The sequence below is a fragment of the Homo sapiens genome, chromosome 16, assembly GCF_000001405.40.
Source record: "Homo sapiens chromosome 16, GRCh38.p14 Primary Assembly".
Lineage (NCBI taxonomy): Eukaryota > Metazoa > Chordata > Mammalia > Primates > Hominidae > Homo > Homo sapiens.
Genome location: NC_000016.10, coordinates 2,427,950 through 2,442,212, shown reverse-complemented (window position 1 = coordinate 2,442,212; position 14,263 = coordinate 2,427,950). Strand labels below are relative to the sequence as shown.

Genomic DNA, 14,263 nt, shown 5'->3' with positions numbered 1-14,263 from the left:
ACATGGTGAAACCCTGTCTCTACTAAAAATACAAAAAATTTAGCTGGGCGTGGTGGTGCAATGCCTGTAGTCCCAGCTACTTGGGAGGCTGAGGCAGGAGAATGGCATGAACCCAGGAGGCGGAGCTTGTGGTGAGCCGAGATTGTGCCACTGCGCTCCAGCCTGGGCAACAGAGCAAGACTCCATCAAAAACAAAACAAAACAAAACAAAACAAAACAAAAACAAAAACATATATATATATATATATATATATATATATATATATATATATATAATTTGCTAATATCATGAGCCCAAAATATCTCATTTAAAAGTGCACTCTTATGACTAGTAGTAAGGTTGAACATTCCAATTTCTAACCACTTGAGTTTATTTATTTATTATTAATTTTTTTTGGCCAGGTGCAGTGGCTCACTCCTGTAATCCCAACACTTTGGGAGGCCGAGGAGGGCAGATTACTTGAGGTCAGGAGTTTTAGACCAGCCTGGCCAACATGGTGAAACCCCACCTCTACTAAAAATACAAAAATTAGCTGGGCGTGGTGGCAGGCACCTATAGTCCCAGCTACTCAGAAGGCTTGAACCCAGGCGTCAGAGGTTGCAGTGAGCTGAGATCGCACCACTGTGCTCTAGCCTGGGCAACAGAGAGAACTCCTGGCTTCAAGTGATCCTCCCGCCTCAGCCTCCCAAAGTGTTGGGATTATAAATGTGAGCCACTGCGCCCGGCCCTATTTCCTCTTTTGTGAGAATTGACTGAGGCCCCTTGAACTTCCACGAGAACTACGTTGTTGCATTTCTTGTAAACAATGTTTTTGTTGAGATAGGGTCTCCCTCTGTAGCCCAGGCTGAAGTGCAATGTTGCGATCACGGCTCTCTGCAGCTTTGACCTCGCAGGCTCAAGTGATCCTCCTGCCTCAGCCTCCTGAGTAGCTGCACTACAAGGCACACGCCACCACATCCAGCTAATTTTTTTTTTTTTTGAGATGGAGTATCGCTCTGTTGCCAGGCTGGAGTGCAGTGGCACAATCTCGGCTCACTGCAACTTCCTCCTCCTGGGTTCAAGCAATTCTCCTGCCTCAGCCTCCCGCGTAGCTGGGACTCTAGGCACATGCCACCAGGCCCAGCTAATTTTTTTGTATTTTTAGTAAAGACGGGGTTTCACCACATTGGCCAGGGTGGTCTCGACCTCTTGACCTCGTGATCCGCCCGCCTCAGCCTCCCAAAGTGCTGGCATTACAGGCATGAGCCACTTGCACCCAGCCCATCCAGCTAATTTTAAAATTTTTTGTCGAGATGGAGTCTCACTATGTTGCCAGAGCTGGTCTTGAACTCCTGGGCTCAAGCGATCCTCCCAACTCAACCTCCTACAGCGCTGGGATTGCAGGCGTGAGCCATCACGTCTGGCCTTCTTGTAAATCTGTAGACTGGCTTTTTGGACGTGAACACCACAATGTGCTATGACACCTCGGGCTGGGCCATTATCAATTTGTAATTTTGTCCCTAGCATTTGAGCGCAGATCACTCTGCCACCCACTTGGTGGGGTGACAAGAACAAGCTTCTATCCATTTGGCAAATAGGAGCTTTCTTTGATTCGTCCTGACAACTTTTTTTTTCCTTCAGACAGAGTCTTGCTCTGTCGCCCAGGCTGGAGTGTAGTGGTACTGCAACCTCTGCCTCCCGGGTTCAAGCGATTCTCCTGCCTCAACTTCCTGAGTATCAGGTGCCTGCCACCACGCCCAGCTAATTTTTGTATTTTTAGTAGCGATGGTTTCACCATGTTGGCCAGGCTGGTCTCGAACTCCTGACCTCAGGTCATCCGCCCACCTTGGCCTCCCAGAGTGCTGGGATTTCAGGCGTGAGCCACCGCACCTGGCCCTAACAACTTATTTATAGCTGTGAGGGGAGAGTCTACCAATGCTTGATTTCCTGCCTGTAGCCCTGGATGACTTGGTGACCAGGTGACATGACAAGCAAGGCGCTAACAGGAAGAGGAAGCAGGAAGGGACTCTCCACGCCCCTCTGCTCTCAAGTAGCCTCAAGTTTTGTTGTCAAGATCAGTTCTACCTATGGGACAACTTTCAAGAATGGCACAAATTTTGACAGCAGCTATAGCTCACAAGCATTTGAAAATTAAGAGGTTGGCTGGCTGAGAGGCAAGAGTGGATAGGCAGAGATGAATAACGCATTTCCCAGCTCTTCTCACAGTGTACCTGTCCTTTAGGACCAGTTCCAGTGCTGAACCGATCTTAGGGTGTCCCTCAATCCTGGCCTCCCATGTGGGAGCCCAGATAGTCCTGCCCCCCAATGTGGGAGCCCAGATAGTCCTGCCCCAAGGCTGGAGGGAGAAAGGCCAGCTCCCCACGTCATCCCAGCCCCGCACCTCACCTGCGCTTCCCAGCAGCCTTTGGCAGCGTAGTCCCTGAGTTTTCGGAAGCTGTGGAGGCATCGCCCAGGATCTGACACCTGTCAATGGGAGATCACCGAGCCTTTGTACAACTGTGTCTTGGGAGGAACTCAGAACCAAGACCCAGAAGGGCCGACACTACGCTAACTTCCCACCTCTTCTCTCTCAAATGGTGGAGTCATTTTTGGGGGTACCAAGAATAGCCGACTGACCAGTGGTTCCCGGAGGCTGAGAGACCGGGAGCAGCAAGAGCCACCTCCCTTTTGTGGACAGAAACGCATCCAAGGACCAGCATCAACTACGCCTTTGTCCAGCATAACTCCCCCCGACCCAGAGCAGGCACCACTCACATCTGTCCTCCTGTCGCTTTCCCAGAGGAGGTAGGAGCTGGTCAGACATCCCTGATGAGCAGCCTCCTCAAACAGGTCATGGGCCTGCTGCTGCTTCTCCTCATCCTAGAATAAATCCCAGCAGAGTTCATTGTTCCCTTATTCTTTTTCATTTTTATTTTTTGAGACAGTTTCACTCGTCGCCCAGGTTGGAGTGCAATGGCGCCATCCTGGCTCACTGCAACCTCCGCCTCCTGGGTTCAACCAATTCTCCTGCCTCAGCCTCCTGAGTAGCTGGGATTACAGGAGCCCACCATCATGCCCGGCTAATTTTTGTATTTTTAGTAGAGACGGGGTTTCACCATGTTGGCCAGGCTGGTCTCAAAATCCTGGCCTCAGGTGATCCACCCACCTCAGTCTCCCAAAGTGCTGGGATTACAGGCATGAGCCACTGTGCCTGGCTGGTTTTTTTGTTGTTGTTGAGGCAGAGTCTCCCTCTGTCACCCAGGCCAAAGTATAGTGGCACGATCTTGGCTAACTAAAACCTCAGCTTCCCGGGTTCAAGCAACTCTCATGCCTCAGCCTCCCAAGTAGCTAGGATTACAGGTGCCCACCACCATGCCCGGCTAATTTTTGTGTTTTTTAGTAAAGACGTGGTTTCAACACATTGGCCAGGTTGGTCTCAAACTCCTGACCTCAGGTGATCCACCCGCCTCGGCCTCCCAAGGTGCTGGGATTACAGGAATGAGCCACCATGACCGGCCCTTATTCTTTACTTGATGTTCAATCACTCTACTCACCATCTTCCTCCTTTTCCATACTTTTTTTTTTTTTTTCTGAGACTGAGTCTCACTCTGTTGCCAGGCTGGAGTGCAGTGGTGCAATCTCGGCTCACTGCAACCTCCGCTTCCCAGGTTCAAGCAATTCTCCCTGCCTCAGCCTCCTGAGTAGCTGGGATTATGGGCACCCGCCACCACGCCCAGCTAATTTTTGTGTTTTTTAGTAAAGACGTGGTTTCACCATTTTGGCCAGGCAGAGAGGTCCACACGAGCAGGAGAGGCCCACGAGGAGCAGGGCCAGCAGACGAGTGAGCATCGAGGTTCGATGCCTCCTTGAGATCTGCTCTGCTGTTCTCACCGTCCCCCACTCCCCTGCCAGGCGGGTCATGGAGCCAGGATCGGAGCCCGTGGCCAGGCCCACATGTGTCCCCTGGCTTCTCCAGCTAGGCCTTTCTGGGCAAGGCTTGCCTTTTGTTTTGGGCCTTGGACACCCCCTTCTGCTGCTTTTCAGTTCCAGGATCTCGGCTAGGGATGTATCGAACACAAAGTCCCAGTGCAGAGAACAACTTGACTCACCTCGAACAGACTCAGCACTCTGCCCAAGCAGTGCAATATGGATGCTTTGTGAGTCTTTAAAAAAAGGAGAAAGAAGTGTGATTTCCAGCACAGAGAACTGCCCGGGGGCCACCACTCCCTTGTCTGTCTTTGGGTCCCATGCCCATGGCCCTGCTGTCTGGCCCTCCCTCCCCTGCAGAGGGCCACTCCCAGATTTCAGTCTTTTTTTTTTTTTTTTTTTAAAGGGAAACAGGGTCTTGCTCTGTCACCCAGGCTGGAGTGCATTGGCATAGTCACGGCTCATTGCAAGCTCAACCTCCCAGGCTCAAGCGATCCTCCCACCGCAGCCTCCTGAGTAGCTGGGACTATAGGTATGCACCACCACCCCTGGCTAACTTTTTTGTATTTTTTGTAGAGACGAGGTTTCGAGATTTCATCATGTTGCCCAGACTGGTCTCGAACACCTGGCCACAAGCAATTCTCCAGCCTCGGCCTCCCAAAGTGCTAGGATGACAGGCGTGAGCCACCACACCTGGCCAGATTTGTGTCTTGAGCTCCCACTGCCCCATGCAGCCTCAGCCCCATGTTTCCAGCTGTCAGCACGTGTACCCAGAACTCCACAGCCCACCCTGGCTCTCAGGCTTCCTCCTCTGTGCCAGCTGATTTCCAGATGCGTTCCCCATATCTGCACTCTCAGTTTTCTGCATCTTCACTTCCCTTAGGCTCCTGACTTTCCAGGGTCCAGGATCTACCCTCGGGGTCTTCCTGTGTCCTGGGACCCTGCAGGTGGCCTCGCAGGTGCTGCCCCTCGCCCAGACTCACCCTCTGCAGCTGGCACTCTGCCCTGAGGCTCTCGTGAACCACGGCCTTGCAGCAGCTTCCGCTCACCGACCACGGAGGGCGGATGAAGAGCCAGATGAAAGGTGCGGCACCCACATTCAGCCGCTCAGCGAGACTGAAGAAGCGAGAGGCCTTCAGGCCATTCACTTCTGCGCGGGCCTCATCAGACACAGACACTGCGGGGACAGACAGGACAGAGCCCAGGGATGTCTCTTAGGGACGGAATGTGGAAAGCTCTCCATGGTCTTGGTGGAAAGTGTAATGCCTGAAGCCCACCATAGTGCAAAGCAGCTGTGTTTCAGGAGAGTAGAGCCCTCCAGGATGGGGGCACCTGTCTTTTCTCCCCCTACTTCATTAATGTCTAGAACAGGTGGGTCATTGTGATCAATGCCCCTGCTGTGGTCCTCCCGGAAGCCTGGATTCTGAAGGTCAGGGGAAGGAGACCCCGCGACGCTTCATGTCCCACCCTCCCTCCAGCTGGGAACCACCGCCTGACCCCTGGTAATGGGTCCAGGGCAGGGGTGGGGGTTCTTTTTGGGACGAGGAGAATATTCTAAAATTAGACAGTGGCAATGGCTGCACAACCCTGTGAATATCCTAAAAAACCACAGAATTGCAGGCTTTAGAGGGGTGAACTGTATGGTGTGTGAATTTTATGTCTGGGAACTGCTCTTTGATGGGAGGGTAGGGGTAGGACCTCGGCTCCCCTGATTCTGGAGGAGGGTGTTGCTCATGGTCCCTGTCAGTCACAATTCTGCCAGCCGGCCAGGTAGGGACTCTCTCCCAGCAAGACACCAGATCGTTTAGAAGTACAAATGTGGGAGGCTACATCCCAGTGTTTACTTGTTTTGAGAGCTGGGACAGATCATGGGCTCGTTCCTTGGGGTGCTGAGCAGATAAGCAGTTAACTGGTAGAAGAAAAGGCTGCGCAAGTTTCTTTCAAGGAGCACCTGGCCTCTGGGGATGAAGGGATCCAGGCACCAGGCCAGTTCTAACCTGCCTGTACCTGCTTCCCGTTTAGAAGCCTGGCTCTGTGTTACAGGGCACGCTGAACTCTGTCTCGAGAGTTCTAAGAGGATGGCCAAGGAGAGGGCCAGCATCCACAGGCAGGTCTGCGTGCTCATGGCGCACAGGGCAGGGAGCCCAAACAGCCCCCGTGCTGAGGCTCTGGCTCAGTCACTCTTTGCCAACTGAAATTAAAGGGTTTGCTAAAACAAGAGGCGACTTTCGTAACCTGCAAAGTCAGAGTATCATTAGCAGGTCCCTCAGCAGGGTACATCTGGGCACGAGCTCCTGAGAGGGAATGGGGAGGCAGGCCATCGGATAGAGCAAGGACAGCAACTGAACTGCTAACACGGGGACCACTTCTTCATAGGGCCAAAGGCTCACACTTATCTGAAGCGCCAACATGCAGGTGGGGTGAGGACTTACGGCCTTCATTGTAGAGGTAGGCTATGCCCAGCTTCACAGCAGCTTCGAAATTCCCCTTTTCAGCAGCCCTGAAACATTAAGAACATAAAGCATCACAATATTTTATGCCACAAACGTTATGAACTACTACAGCACTTGAAGAAGTCAGAATACTTGTTCCCTGAATTGAATATATATATATATATATATATATATATATATATATATGTGTGTGTGTGCATATATATATGTGTGTGCATATATATGTGTGTGTGTGTGTGCATATATATATATATATCTCTCTCTCTCTGAGACAGGGTCTTGCTCTGTTGCCCAGGCTGGAGTGCAGTGGTGCGATCACAGCTCACTGCAGCCTCAACCTCCTGGGCTTAAGCCATTCTCCCACCCCGGCATCCCAAGTAGCTAGGACTACAGGCATGTGCCACCATGCTCAGCTAGTCAAAAAAAAATATTTTCTTTTCTAGAGACAGGGTCTTGCTATGTTGCCCAGGCTAGTCTTGAATTCCAGACCCAAGTGATCCTCCTGCCTTGGCCTCATAAAGTGCTGGGATTATAGGCTTGAGCCATCATGCCCGGCTCTAGAACATTTCTTTTTTTTTTTCTTTTCTTTTCTTTTTTTTTTTTGAGACGGAGTCTGCTCTGTTGCCCAGGCTGGAGTGCAGTGGCGCAATCTCGGCTCACTACAAGCTCCGCCTCCCAGGTTCACACCATTCTCCTGCCTCAGCCTCCCGAGTAGCTGGGACCACAGGTGCCCGCCACCACGCCTGTCTAATTTTTTCTATTTTTAGTAGAGACGGGGTTTCACCATGTTAGCCAGGATGGTCTCGATCTGATCTCATGATCCACCCGCCTCGGCCTCCCAAAGTGCTGGGATTACAAGCGTGAGCCACCACGCTCGGTCGAACATTTCTTAATAACATGTAATCAAATACGAATTATCCATTACATGCTATGACACAGATGAACCTTGAAAACATCAGGGTCCGTGAAAGAAGCCAGCCACGAAAGACCACGTGTTGCATGATTCCATGTGAAATCCTCACAAAAGGCAAATCCGGAGAGACAGAAAATCAATTAGGGGTTGTCTAGAGTTTCCAGGATTGTGGGGAAAATGGGAAGTGACTGCTGATGGGGACAAGCTTTCTTCTTGGGGTAAGGAGAACGTTCTAAAGTTAAGTACTGGTGATGTCTGTACAACTCTCAGTATACTAAAAACCAATGAGTTATACATTTTATTTATTTATTTACTTATTTATTTATTTTGAGACGGAGTCTCGCTCTGTTGCTCAGGCTGGAGTGCAGTGGTGCGATCTCGGCTCACTGCAACCTCTGCCTCCTGGGTTCAAGCAATTCTCCTGCCTCAGCCTCCTGAATAGCTGGCATTACAGGCATGTGCCACCACCCAGCTAATTTTTGTATTTTTAGTAGAGACAGGGTTTCACCATGTTGCTCAGGCTGGTCTCAAACTCTTGACCTCGTGATCCGCCCGCCTTGGTCTCCCAAAGTGCTGGGATTACAGGCGTGAGCCACTGTGCCCAGCCATATTTTATTATTTTATTATTATTTTTTTGAGACAGTCTTACCCCATCACCCAGGCTGGAGTGCAATGGCGCAATCTTGGCTCACTGCAACCTCCACCTGCTGGGTTTAAGCAATTCTCATGCTTCAGCCTCCAGAGTAGCTGGGACTACAAGTGCCCATCACCGCATCCAGCTAATTTTTGTATTTTTAATAGAGACAGGGTTTTGCCATGTTGGCCGGGCTGGTCTCGAACTCCCGACCTCAAGTGATCCACCCGCCTTGGCCTCCCAAAGTGCTGGGAATACAGGTGTGACGCCACACCCGGCTGAGTTATACACTTTAAATGGATGAATTGTGTGATGTGTGGATAATGTCTCAATAAGAAATATATACATTCCCCCTGGAAGCAGCCCAAGCATGGCCGCGGCAACATGGCTGCCTGCCCTGGTTGGCTGTCGATCTGGATTTCTGGCAACTCAGATGGACGAGGCTCACAGCGAATCCCTGTCAGAAAAATGCCCGCCTGAGATCAGGAGGTCAGGAGATCGAGACCATCCTGGCCAACATGGCGAAACCCCATCTCTACTAAGAATACAAAAATTAGATGGGCGTGGTAGCGCGTGCCTGTAATCCTAGCTACTCAGGAGGCTGAGGCAGGAGAATCGCTTGAACCAGGAGTTGGTGGTTGCAGTGAGCTGAGATTGCACCACTGCACTCCAGCCTGGTGACAGAGCGAGACTCCGTCTCAAGAAAAAAACAAAAACGAAAACAAAAAACAAAAAACAACAACAAAAAAGAAAAATCCCCGCCTGAGCTGTGGTTCCTTGGTTTGTTCTGAGGGCGGCGGGTACCTGGGACCATGAGCACATGTGAACAGGGGCCAGGGTGCGGGGTGCAGGTTGGGGTGGGATCAGCCAGTGAGTGAAACGCTATAGGATAGAATTCAGATGGTTTTGACCAAAGGGAAGGAAGGCTGAGTGAAGTTTCCACAGGAAGGTGACTCTTGTCTGGGTCATGTGGGAATGGATCACAGCCCTCTGGAGGCACCACGGGCCCGTGTCAGTGGCGTGAGGGATGACTGACTGCATAGCCTGCTGGAAGGTGTGTGGCTTGTGCGGCCTGATGCGTGAGGTCTGCCACCCTCAGTCACTCCCCAGGGTATGAGGCAATGTCATGGGAGACAGCAACAGGAAAATCGTTGCTGAATCAGGCCGTGAGACACAGACTGGCACATAGGGAGGCCAAGGCAGGAGAAGACTGAGCCATTCTCAGGGTGCAGAGATACCTTTCAAAGAGCTTCAGGTTCCCTGGAGACGGCCACAGCTCCTGGAAGCTGGCACATGCCCACACACTGGCGTGGTTGTCCACCAGGTCCTTCAGCTGGGAGTGTACCTGCAGAACAACGGGGGCCGGGGCTGGGTGATGGAGGCACCACCCAAAAGCCCCACACCTGGAGGCTCTTGAGGACGAGAGGCAGATGTAGGGTCTCCTGTCTCCCTCGCCATCCCAAGTAGTTGAGGTCCCCAATCTCTGTGTGAAAGTAACTGTCACTTTGAGCAGATAAAAGAGCCCAGAAACGAGTTTCTCTGAGGTTCTAAAGCAGGGCAGAGGACAATGATCTGGGAAGGAGGAAACAAACACCTAGGCTGAGAAAGAGGGTTCAACATCCCTGCAAAGGTATCACCCCCAAAGACAGGGGAAACACTCTAAAAGGGGGCAGGCAGGACGGAAATGTGTTTTGTGCTTCCCCGCTGGAGGCCTTGCTAGTGGGAGTGTGGAAACAGGTCACAGGGACTCAGGGCAAAGAACAACACCCATGATGGAGGTCTCAGGTAGAACCCGGAGCCTAAGCGCTGGGCCAACGCAGGAGTGTCCAGGCCAGGACCTGGAGCACAGGTGAACACTTTAAGCACCAAAGTTTCCACTGCCATTGGAAATTCAGCACCCCCTGGGGTCCATAAAGTGTGTCGCACCTGCAATGGAGGTGGCTTTGGGAGTCAGAAAATGGGTTCTTGCTGGCATTTCCCCATGAATCCACTATATACTCTAGGTTAAGTCACTCAAAGTAAGCCTATGGTTCCAATATCTAGAAAATAACTCCTAGAGTCCATTTCAGTGTTAAATGTTACATGGAATTTGTCCTCAAGAATGTATTCTTATTCTTTTAAACACTATCCTATTTTTTAAGGGATGCAAATTTCACTGCCATAAAAGGGTACTTTCAGCCGGGTGCAGTGGCTCATGCCTGTAATCCCAGCACTTTGGGAGGCCGAGGCGGGCGGATCACGAGGTCAAGAGATAGAGACCATCCTGGCTAACACAGTGAAACCCCAACTCTACTAAAAATACAATAAATTAGCCGGGCGTGGTGGCGGGTGCCTGTAGTCCCAGCTACTCGGAAGGCTGAGGTAGGAGAATGGCATGAACCTGGGAGGCGGAACTTGCAGTGAGCCGAGATTGCGCTACTGCACTCCAGCCTGGGTGGCAGAGCGAGACTCTGTCTCAAAAAAAAAAAAGGTACTTTCTTTGTTGACACTGCAATGAACAGAGGCAATTTTAGTGTGCTAGGAGACAGCAGTAGGAATTTCTGTAATCAGAATGTCTTAAAGAAAGCATCTGGTAATGATATCATCCTTGTTTCCTTTTTGCCCTCCTTTTTTTTTTTTTTTTTTTGAGACAGAGTCTCGCTCTGTCGCCCAGGCTGGAGTGCAATGATGTGATCTCGGCTCACTGCAAGCTCTGCCTCCCAGGTTCAAGCAATTTTCCCGCCTCAGCCTCCCTAGTAGCTGGGATTACAGGCGTGAGACACCACGCCCGGCTAATTTTTGTATTTTTAGTAGAGATGGGGGTTTTGCCAAGTTGGCCAGGCTGGTCTGGAACTCCTGACCTCAGGTGATCCACCCCCCTTCGGCCTCCCAAAGTGCTAGGATTAAGGCATGAGCCACCGTGCCTGGCCTCTGCCCCAACCTCTTTTTTAGCCAAAGTTTTGTTCTGACAGTTAAGAACACAAGGCCTGATGGTATAATCAACAATGCTAGGGCTCATAGTGTTTTCATGCAGGGACTTACAGCTCGGACGGCCAGGATGTCCTCTACAGAAAGCCATTTCAGGATGTGAAAGAGCACATCTTCGGGGAGACTCAAGATGGTCAGGTTTCGGGGCCTCCTCCTTATTCTTCGCTTTGTAGGATAACAGAAACACTTGGCACACCTACAGTGGACCACTGAAGGAAAAAAAGACAGAAGCCTTGATAAGATGAAAAATTATTCTATATACACACCCTTGAAGGGAAAAAAAAAGGATAAAAGTTACATCTGAAGATGATCTAATGGTTACTATTCCCTGTGCCACAAAAGATGGAACTATGCTTCTTGTCCCAAACAAAGATTATGTAAAGGAGTGGCATTGCACAAATTACAGAAGAGATCATTCATTTTCAAATATTCAACAAATATTTATGGCAAATAGCGCATGTCATGTAACTTGGCTATTGGGAAACTTTCTGATCCAGAGCCCACATGACAGGCAGGAAGGGGAAAAAGCTGCCGAAGCTGAGGACGGTTTTCCTTCTATTTCACTCTCAGGAAAACTCCTGGGGCCTTTGCTGGATAGCTTTGCTTTTTGCACACGTGACCAAGGTGCATAATGTTCAATAAAGATCTGTGGGCTTGAAGAGTCTGGTTTTCAAGTCCAAATTAGAAGGGTCGGCCCTGGAGAGAAGCCACAGACTTGGAGGCCGGGGCAGTGTGCGTCCAAGTCTCAGCTCTGCAGAGTCTCAGTGTGCCCTCTATTGTAGAATGCGGAGTTGACAGCTACGCAGTAAGGTTGTTGCTCAGGTCCCAACACAAACCTAGACCTGTAGGTTTGTGTACAGATGCAATCATTAAAGGTGAGACGGGCATTCCACCCACCAGGCAGGCAGCCCGGACATGCTTCTCAGATGTGCTCTCTCCTCTTCCCACAGCCGGATTTTCCAACTCCTACTCCAGCAACCCCTTCCTCACTCTAAGCAGATGACCTTAGCCCTTATTTCACAGGGAAACAGAAGCCCTCAGACAGGAACCTCAGGATCCTGCCTCCCCATCTACAAATCTACCTTTCTATCCATCCTTCCTTCCAGTCCTGAAAGGAAGCGCCACTCCCCTCTGTGGGCCCAAATCCCTCCCCGCCTTGCTAGGACTTCCTAGCGATTGCTCCCGGCTCCCCTCTCTTGACCGGGGTCTTCCTGTTAGCAATTAAATCAGCTGCAAAAGCCAAACGTATTCCAGGGCGACGAATTCTCAAAGATTCTATAGACCTCTCCATAAAATATTCCTCATTCTCCGGCTCCAGGACAGATACTATGATAATAGCTGAAACCACAGTTCGTGTTTCCTGTGCCTCAACGCGCGCGGGGCCGAACGCTGCTTTCCACAGAGCTAGGTCCACGGCCCCGCTGGACTGAGGCTCGGTCAGGGCCCGGCCGGGCTGCGGGATCGCTTCGCCCCCACGCGCTCCGCAGCCCTTTCCCCGACCAGGAGGCGCTGGTGTTTGGCTCCCCGAGACCCGATCGCCGCCCCGGGACCCGATCGCCGGATCGCTGCCCCGGGACCCGATCGTTGCCCCAGGAAAGGGCCGGAAAACGTCGCCGCGGGGGAAGGCTCCGAGGGGCTCGGGCGCCCGCCGGGCATTTAAACCGCGCGCCCGGCCGCCGGGGCTCCCTGCGCGGGACGCGACATCCGCCCCGGGTTAAAGAGCTCGAGCCAGCCCTCTTCAGGCCGCCAGGGCCTCCCCTCCCGCGGGACCCACCGTCCGCCCCGCAGGGCAGGCAGAAGGGGTGTGGGGCAGAAACCAGCGGACATCGCCCCGCACTCACCGCCGCCGCTCCCCATCGCCGCGCTCGCGTCGCTGCCGCCGGAGCCCGCCTGAGAGCGCGCCCGCGCCCCGGCCGGAGCGCGCGTAGCCCTCGCGCAGGCGCAGACCCCGCCCCGCCGCCCACCCCAGTTTTCAAACGCACCCGGCCCTCCCATTGGCCTGCCCGGGGGGGCCGCCGCCGGCCCCGCCCATGTCCCGCCCTGTGCTCGCCTCATTTACCGCCCTCCACGCCCTCCCCGCCTGCTCCGGGACCCGCCATTGGCCGCGCCAGGACGCGAATTCGAACATTGGCCGCTGATTGGTGGAACCCGCGTGGCCGCCCCGCCTCCCCAACGGGGCTGGGGTCCCGTAGGAGCGCTTCCCGGCCGGCGGGCAGGGGTTTGTGGGCGTCCCCTCCCGGCCGCATGGGTTCGGGCTTCGCCGCTGACCCCGGCGACCGGCATCTGCGGTGCCAGATGGGCTGCGAAGGCGCACGCCTGCGGCCAGGGGAAAGAGGACTCCTTGGCGTCCCTCGCAGTCGCGGCCGTGATCCAGCCTGGGACAGCCTCGACGTGGCGCTTCTAAGACGAGGCCGTGCCCTGCCCGGGTCCCGGGGTCGCTCCTGGGCCCGCGACCCTCACCCCCAGCTTGCACGGCCTTCCCTTCCGCCGCCTGCTTCAGGTGGAGACCCTTGGGTTTGTGGCTGAGCCGCTGCTGGGCGGGGATGCTGGCCGGGATCGTGGTAGAGAAAGAGGAGGTCGGAGCTGACGCTGGGAAGTCTCCCCCGCGGAACGCTGACCCCTTCTTCCCGCGAAACGTGGCGCACCCTGGACGCCTCAGTGCTCCAGCCCCGGGGCAAGCCCTCCCCATCACTTTGGCCAGATGCTGCCCCCTGTCTGGCCTCCTCGGCTGCTACCTGGAGCTGCTCGCCGCGGGAAGTGTCGTATCTGCTCACTCTTGTCTTGGGCAGTGCCCATCTGAGCTGTCCTTCAGGAGTCAGCCACACCGCACCCCTTTTACGGCACAGGCTGTCAAGGGGAAGACTCGCAGCCTCCTGACTGTCTGGTGGAGGACAGAGGGGGCTTTTCCTGGGGAAGGCAGGGGCCTGGGCCAAGGCTGCCCACCCCTCCCTCACGCTTCCCTCAGTCTGCACCCTTCCATCCTTCCGGGTCCCCATAGAACTCCTTCAAGTACTGGGCCTGCCCTGGGCACACAGACAGGAGCCCTGGCGTGCAGGCTTCAGCCGGCCTGGGGCAAGAGACAGAGTAAACAGGTGATCACAGCACAGGGTACAGAAGAGTCCGTGGCCCCAGAGAGGGTCTGGAAGTTGGGAATATTCCCTGTCCCGGAATCAGGAAGCGGGTGAAGGAGGGTGAAGAGAGGACAGGCTGAGCGAGTTTGGGGCCTGCTCCCCAGATGTCCCATGTTCTCAGCCCCCAGATTTATTATCCCCTTATCTCACTTTTGTCCTCCTGGGTTACTGTTTCCTACTTTGTCACTGTTACCTGTCTCCCCCTAGGGCAGAGGTGCACTTTCAGGGTTAGCTTCCATAGCATCTTGAAGGGATTAA

The 14,263-nt window shown here is 53.3% G+C and overlaps 1 protein-coding gene across 2 annotated transcripts in view, besides 6 other annotated features; it reads right to left on the bottom strand.

Annotated features, from left to right (window-relative positions):
- The window catches only part of CCNF (cyclin F), a 29,408-nt gene extending 16,642 nt beyond the window's left edge, over nucleotides 1-12,766 (bottom strand). The window contains exons 1-8 of one of the 2 annotated variants that reach the window (NM_001761.3): nucleotides 12,716-12,766; nucleotides 10,929-11,083; nucleotides 9,146-9,252; nucleotides 6,340-6,407; nucleotides 4,891-5,084; nucleotides 4,090-4,143; nucleotides 2,756-2,860; nucleotides 2,387-2,464 (exon numbers count right to left, since the gene is read on the bottom strand). In NM_001761.3, coding sequence (NP_001752.2) covers nucleotides 2,387-2,464; nucleotides 2,756-2,860; nucleotides 4,090-4,143; nucleotides 4,891-5,084; nucleotides 6,340-6,407; nucleotides 9,146-9,252; nucleotides 10,929-11,083; nucleotides 12,716-12,731 — 777 coding nt within the window. In that variant the 5' untranslated portion in view covers nucleotides 12,732-12,766. The remainder of the gene's footprint in view (nucleotides 1-2,386; nucleotides 2,465-2,755; nucleotides 2,861-4,089; nucleotides 4,144-4,890; nucleotides 5,085-6,339; nucleotides 6,408-9,145; nucleotides 9,253-10,928; nucleotides 11,084-12,715) is intronic. The other variant, NM_001323538.2, reaches the window with a different exon arrangement.
- Nucleotides 1,838-1,927: a silencer, noted in NCBI's record as "silent region_7045". NCBI's record gives its function as "represses an Ori minimal core promoter by ATAC-STARR-seq in GM12878 lymphoblastoid cells {active_cell/tissue: GM12878}" and the evidence as "EXISTENCE:reporter gene assay evidence [ECO:0000049][PMID:35858748]".
- Nucleotides 12,391-12,440: a silencer, noted in NCBI's record as "silent region_7044". NCBI's record gives its function as "represses an Ori minimal core promoter by ATAC-STARR-seq in GM12878 lymphoblastoid cells {active_cell/tissue: GM12878}" and the evidence as "EXISTENCE:reporter gene assay evidence [ECO:0000049][PMID:35858748]".
- Nucleotides 12,451-13,300: a silencer, noted in NCBI's record as "silent region_7043". NCBI's record gives its function as "represses an Ori minimal core promoter by ATAC-STARR-seq in GM12878 lymphoblastoid cells {active_cell/tissue: GM12878}" and the evidence as "EXISTENCE:reporter gene assay evidence [ECO:0000049][PMID:35858748]".
- Nucleotides 12,451-13,705: a biological region, named in NCBI's record as "H3K27ac-H3K4me1 hESC enhancer GRCh37_chr16:2478509-2479088".
- Nucleotides 13,126-13,705: an enhancer, noted in NCBI's record as "H3K27ac-H3K4me1 hESC enhancer chr16:2478509-2479088 (GRCh37/hg19 assembly coordinates)". NCBI's record gives its function as "activates a minimal SCP1, AML or CMV promoter by ChIP-STARR-seq in primed H9 embryonic stem cells {active_cell/tissue: H9 hESC(primed)}" and the evidence as "EXISTENCE:reporter gene assay evidence [ECO:0000049][PMID:30033119]".
- Nucleotides 13,511-13,690: an enhancer, noted in NCBI's record as "active region_10266". NCBI's record gives its function as "activates an Ori minimal core promoter by ATAC-STARR-seq in GM12878 lymphoblastoid cells {active_cell/tissue: GM12878}" and the evidence as "EXISTENCE:reporter gene assay evidence [ECO:0000049][PMID:35858748]".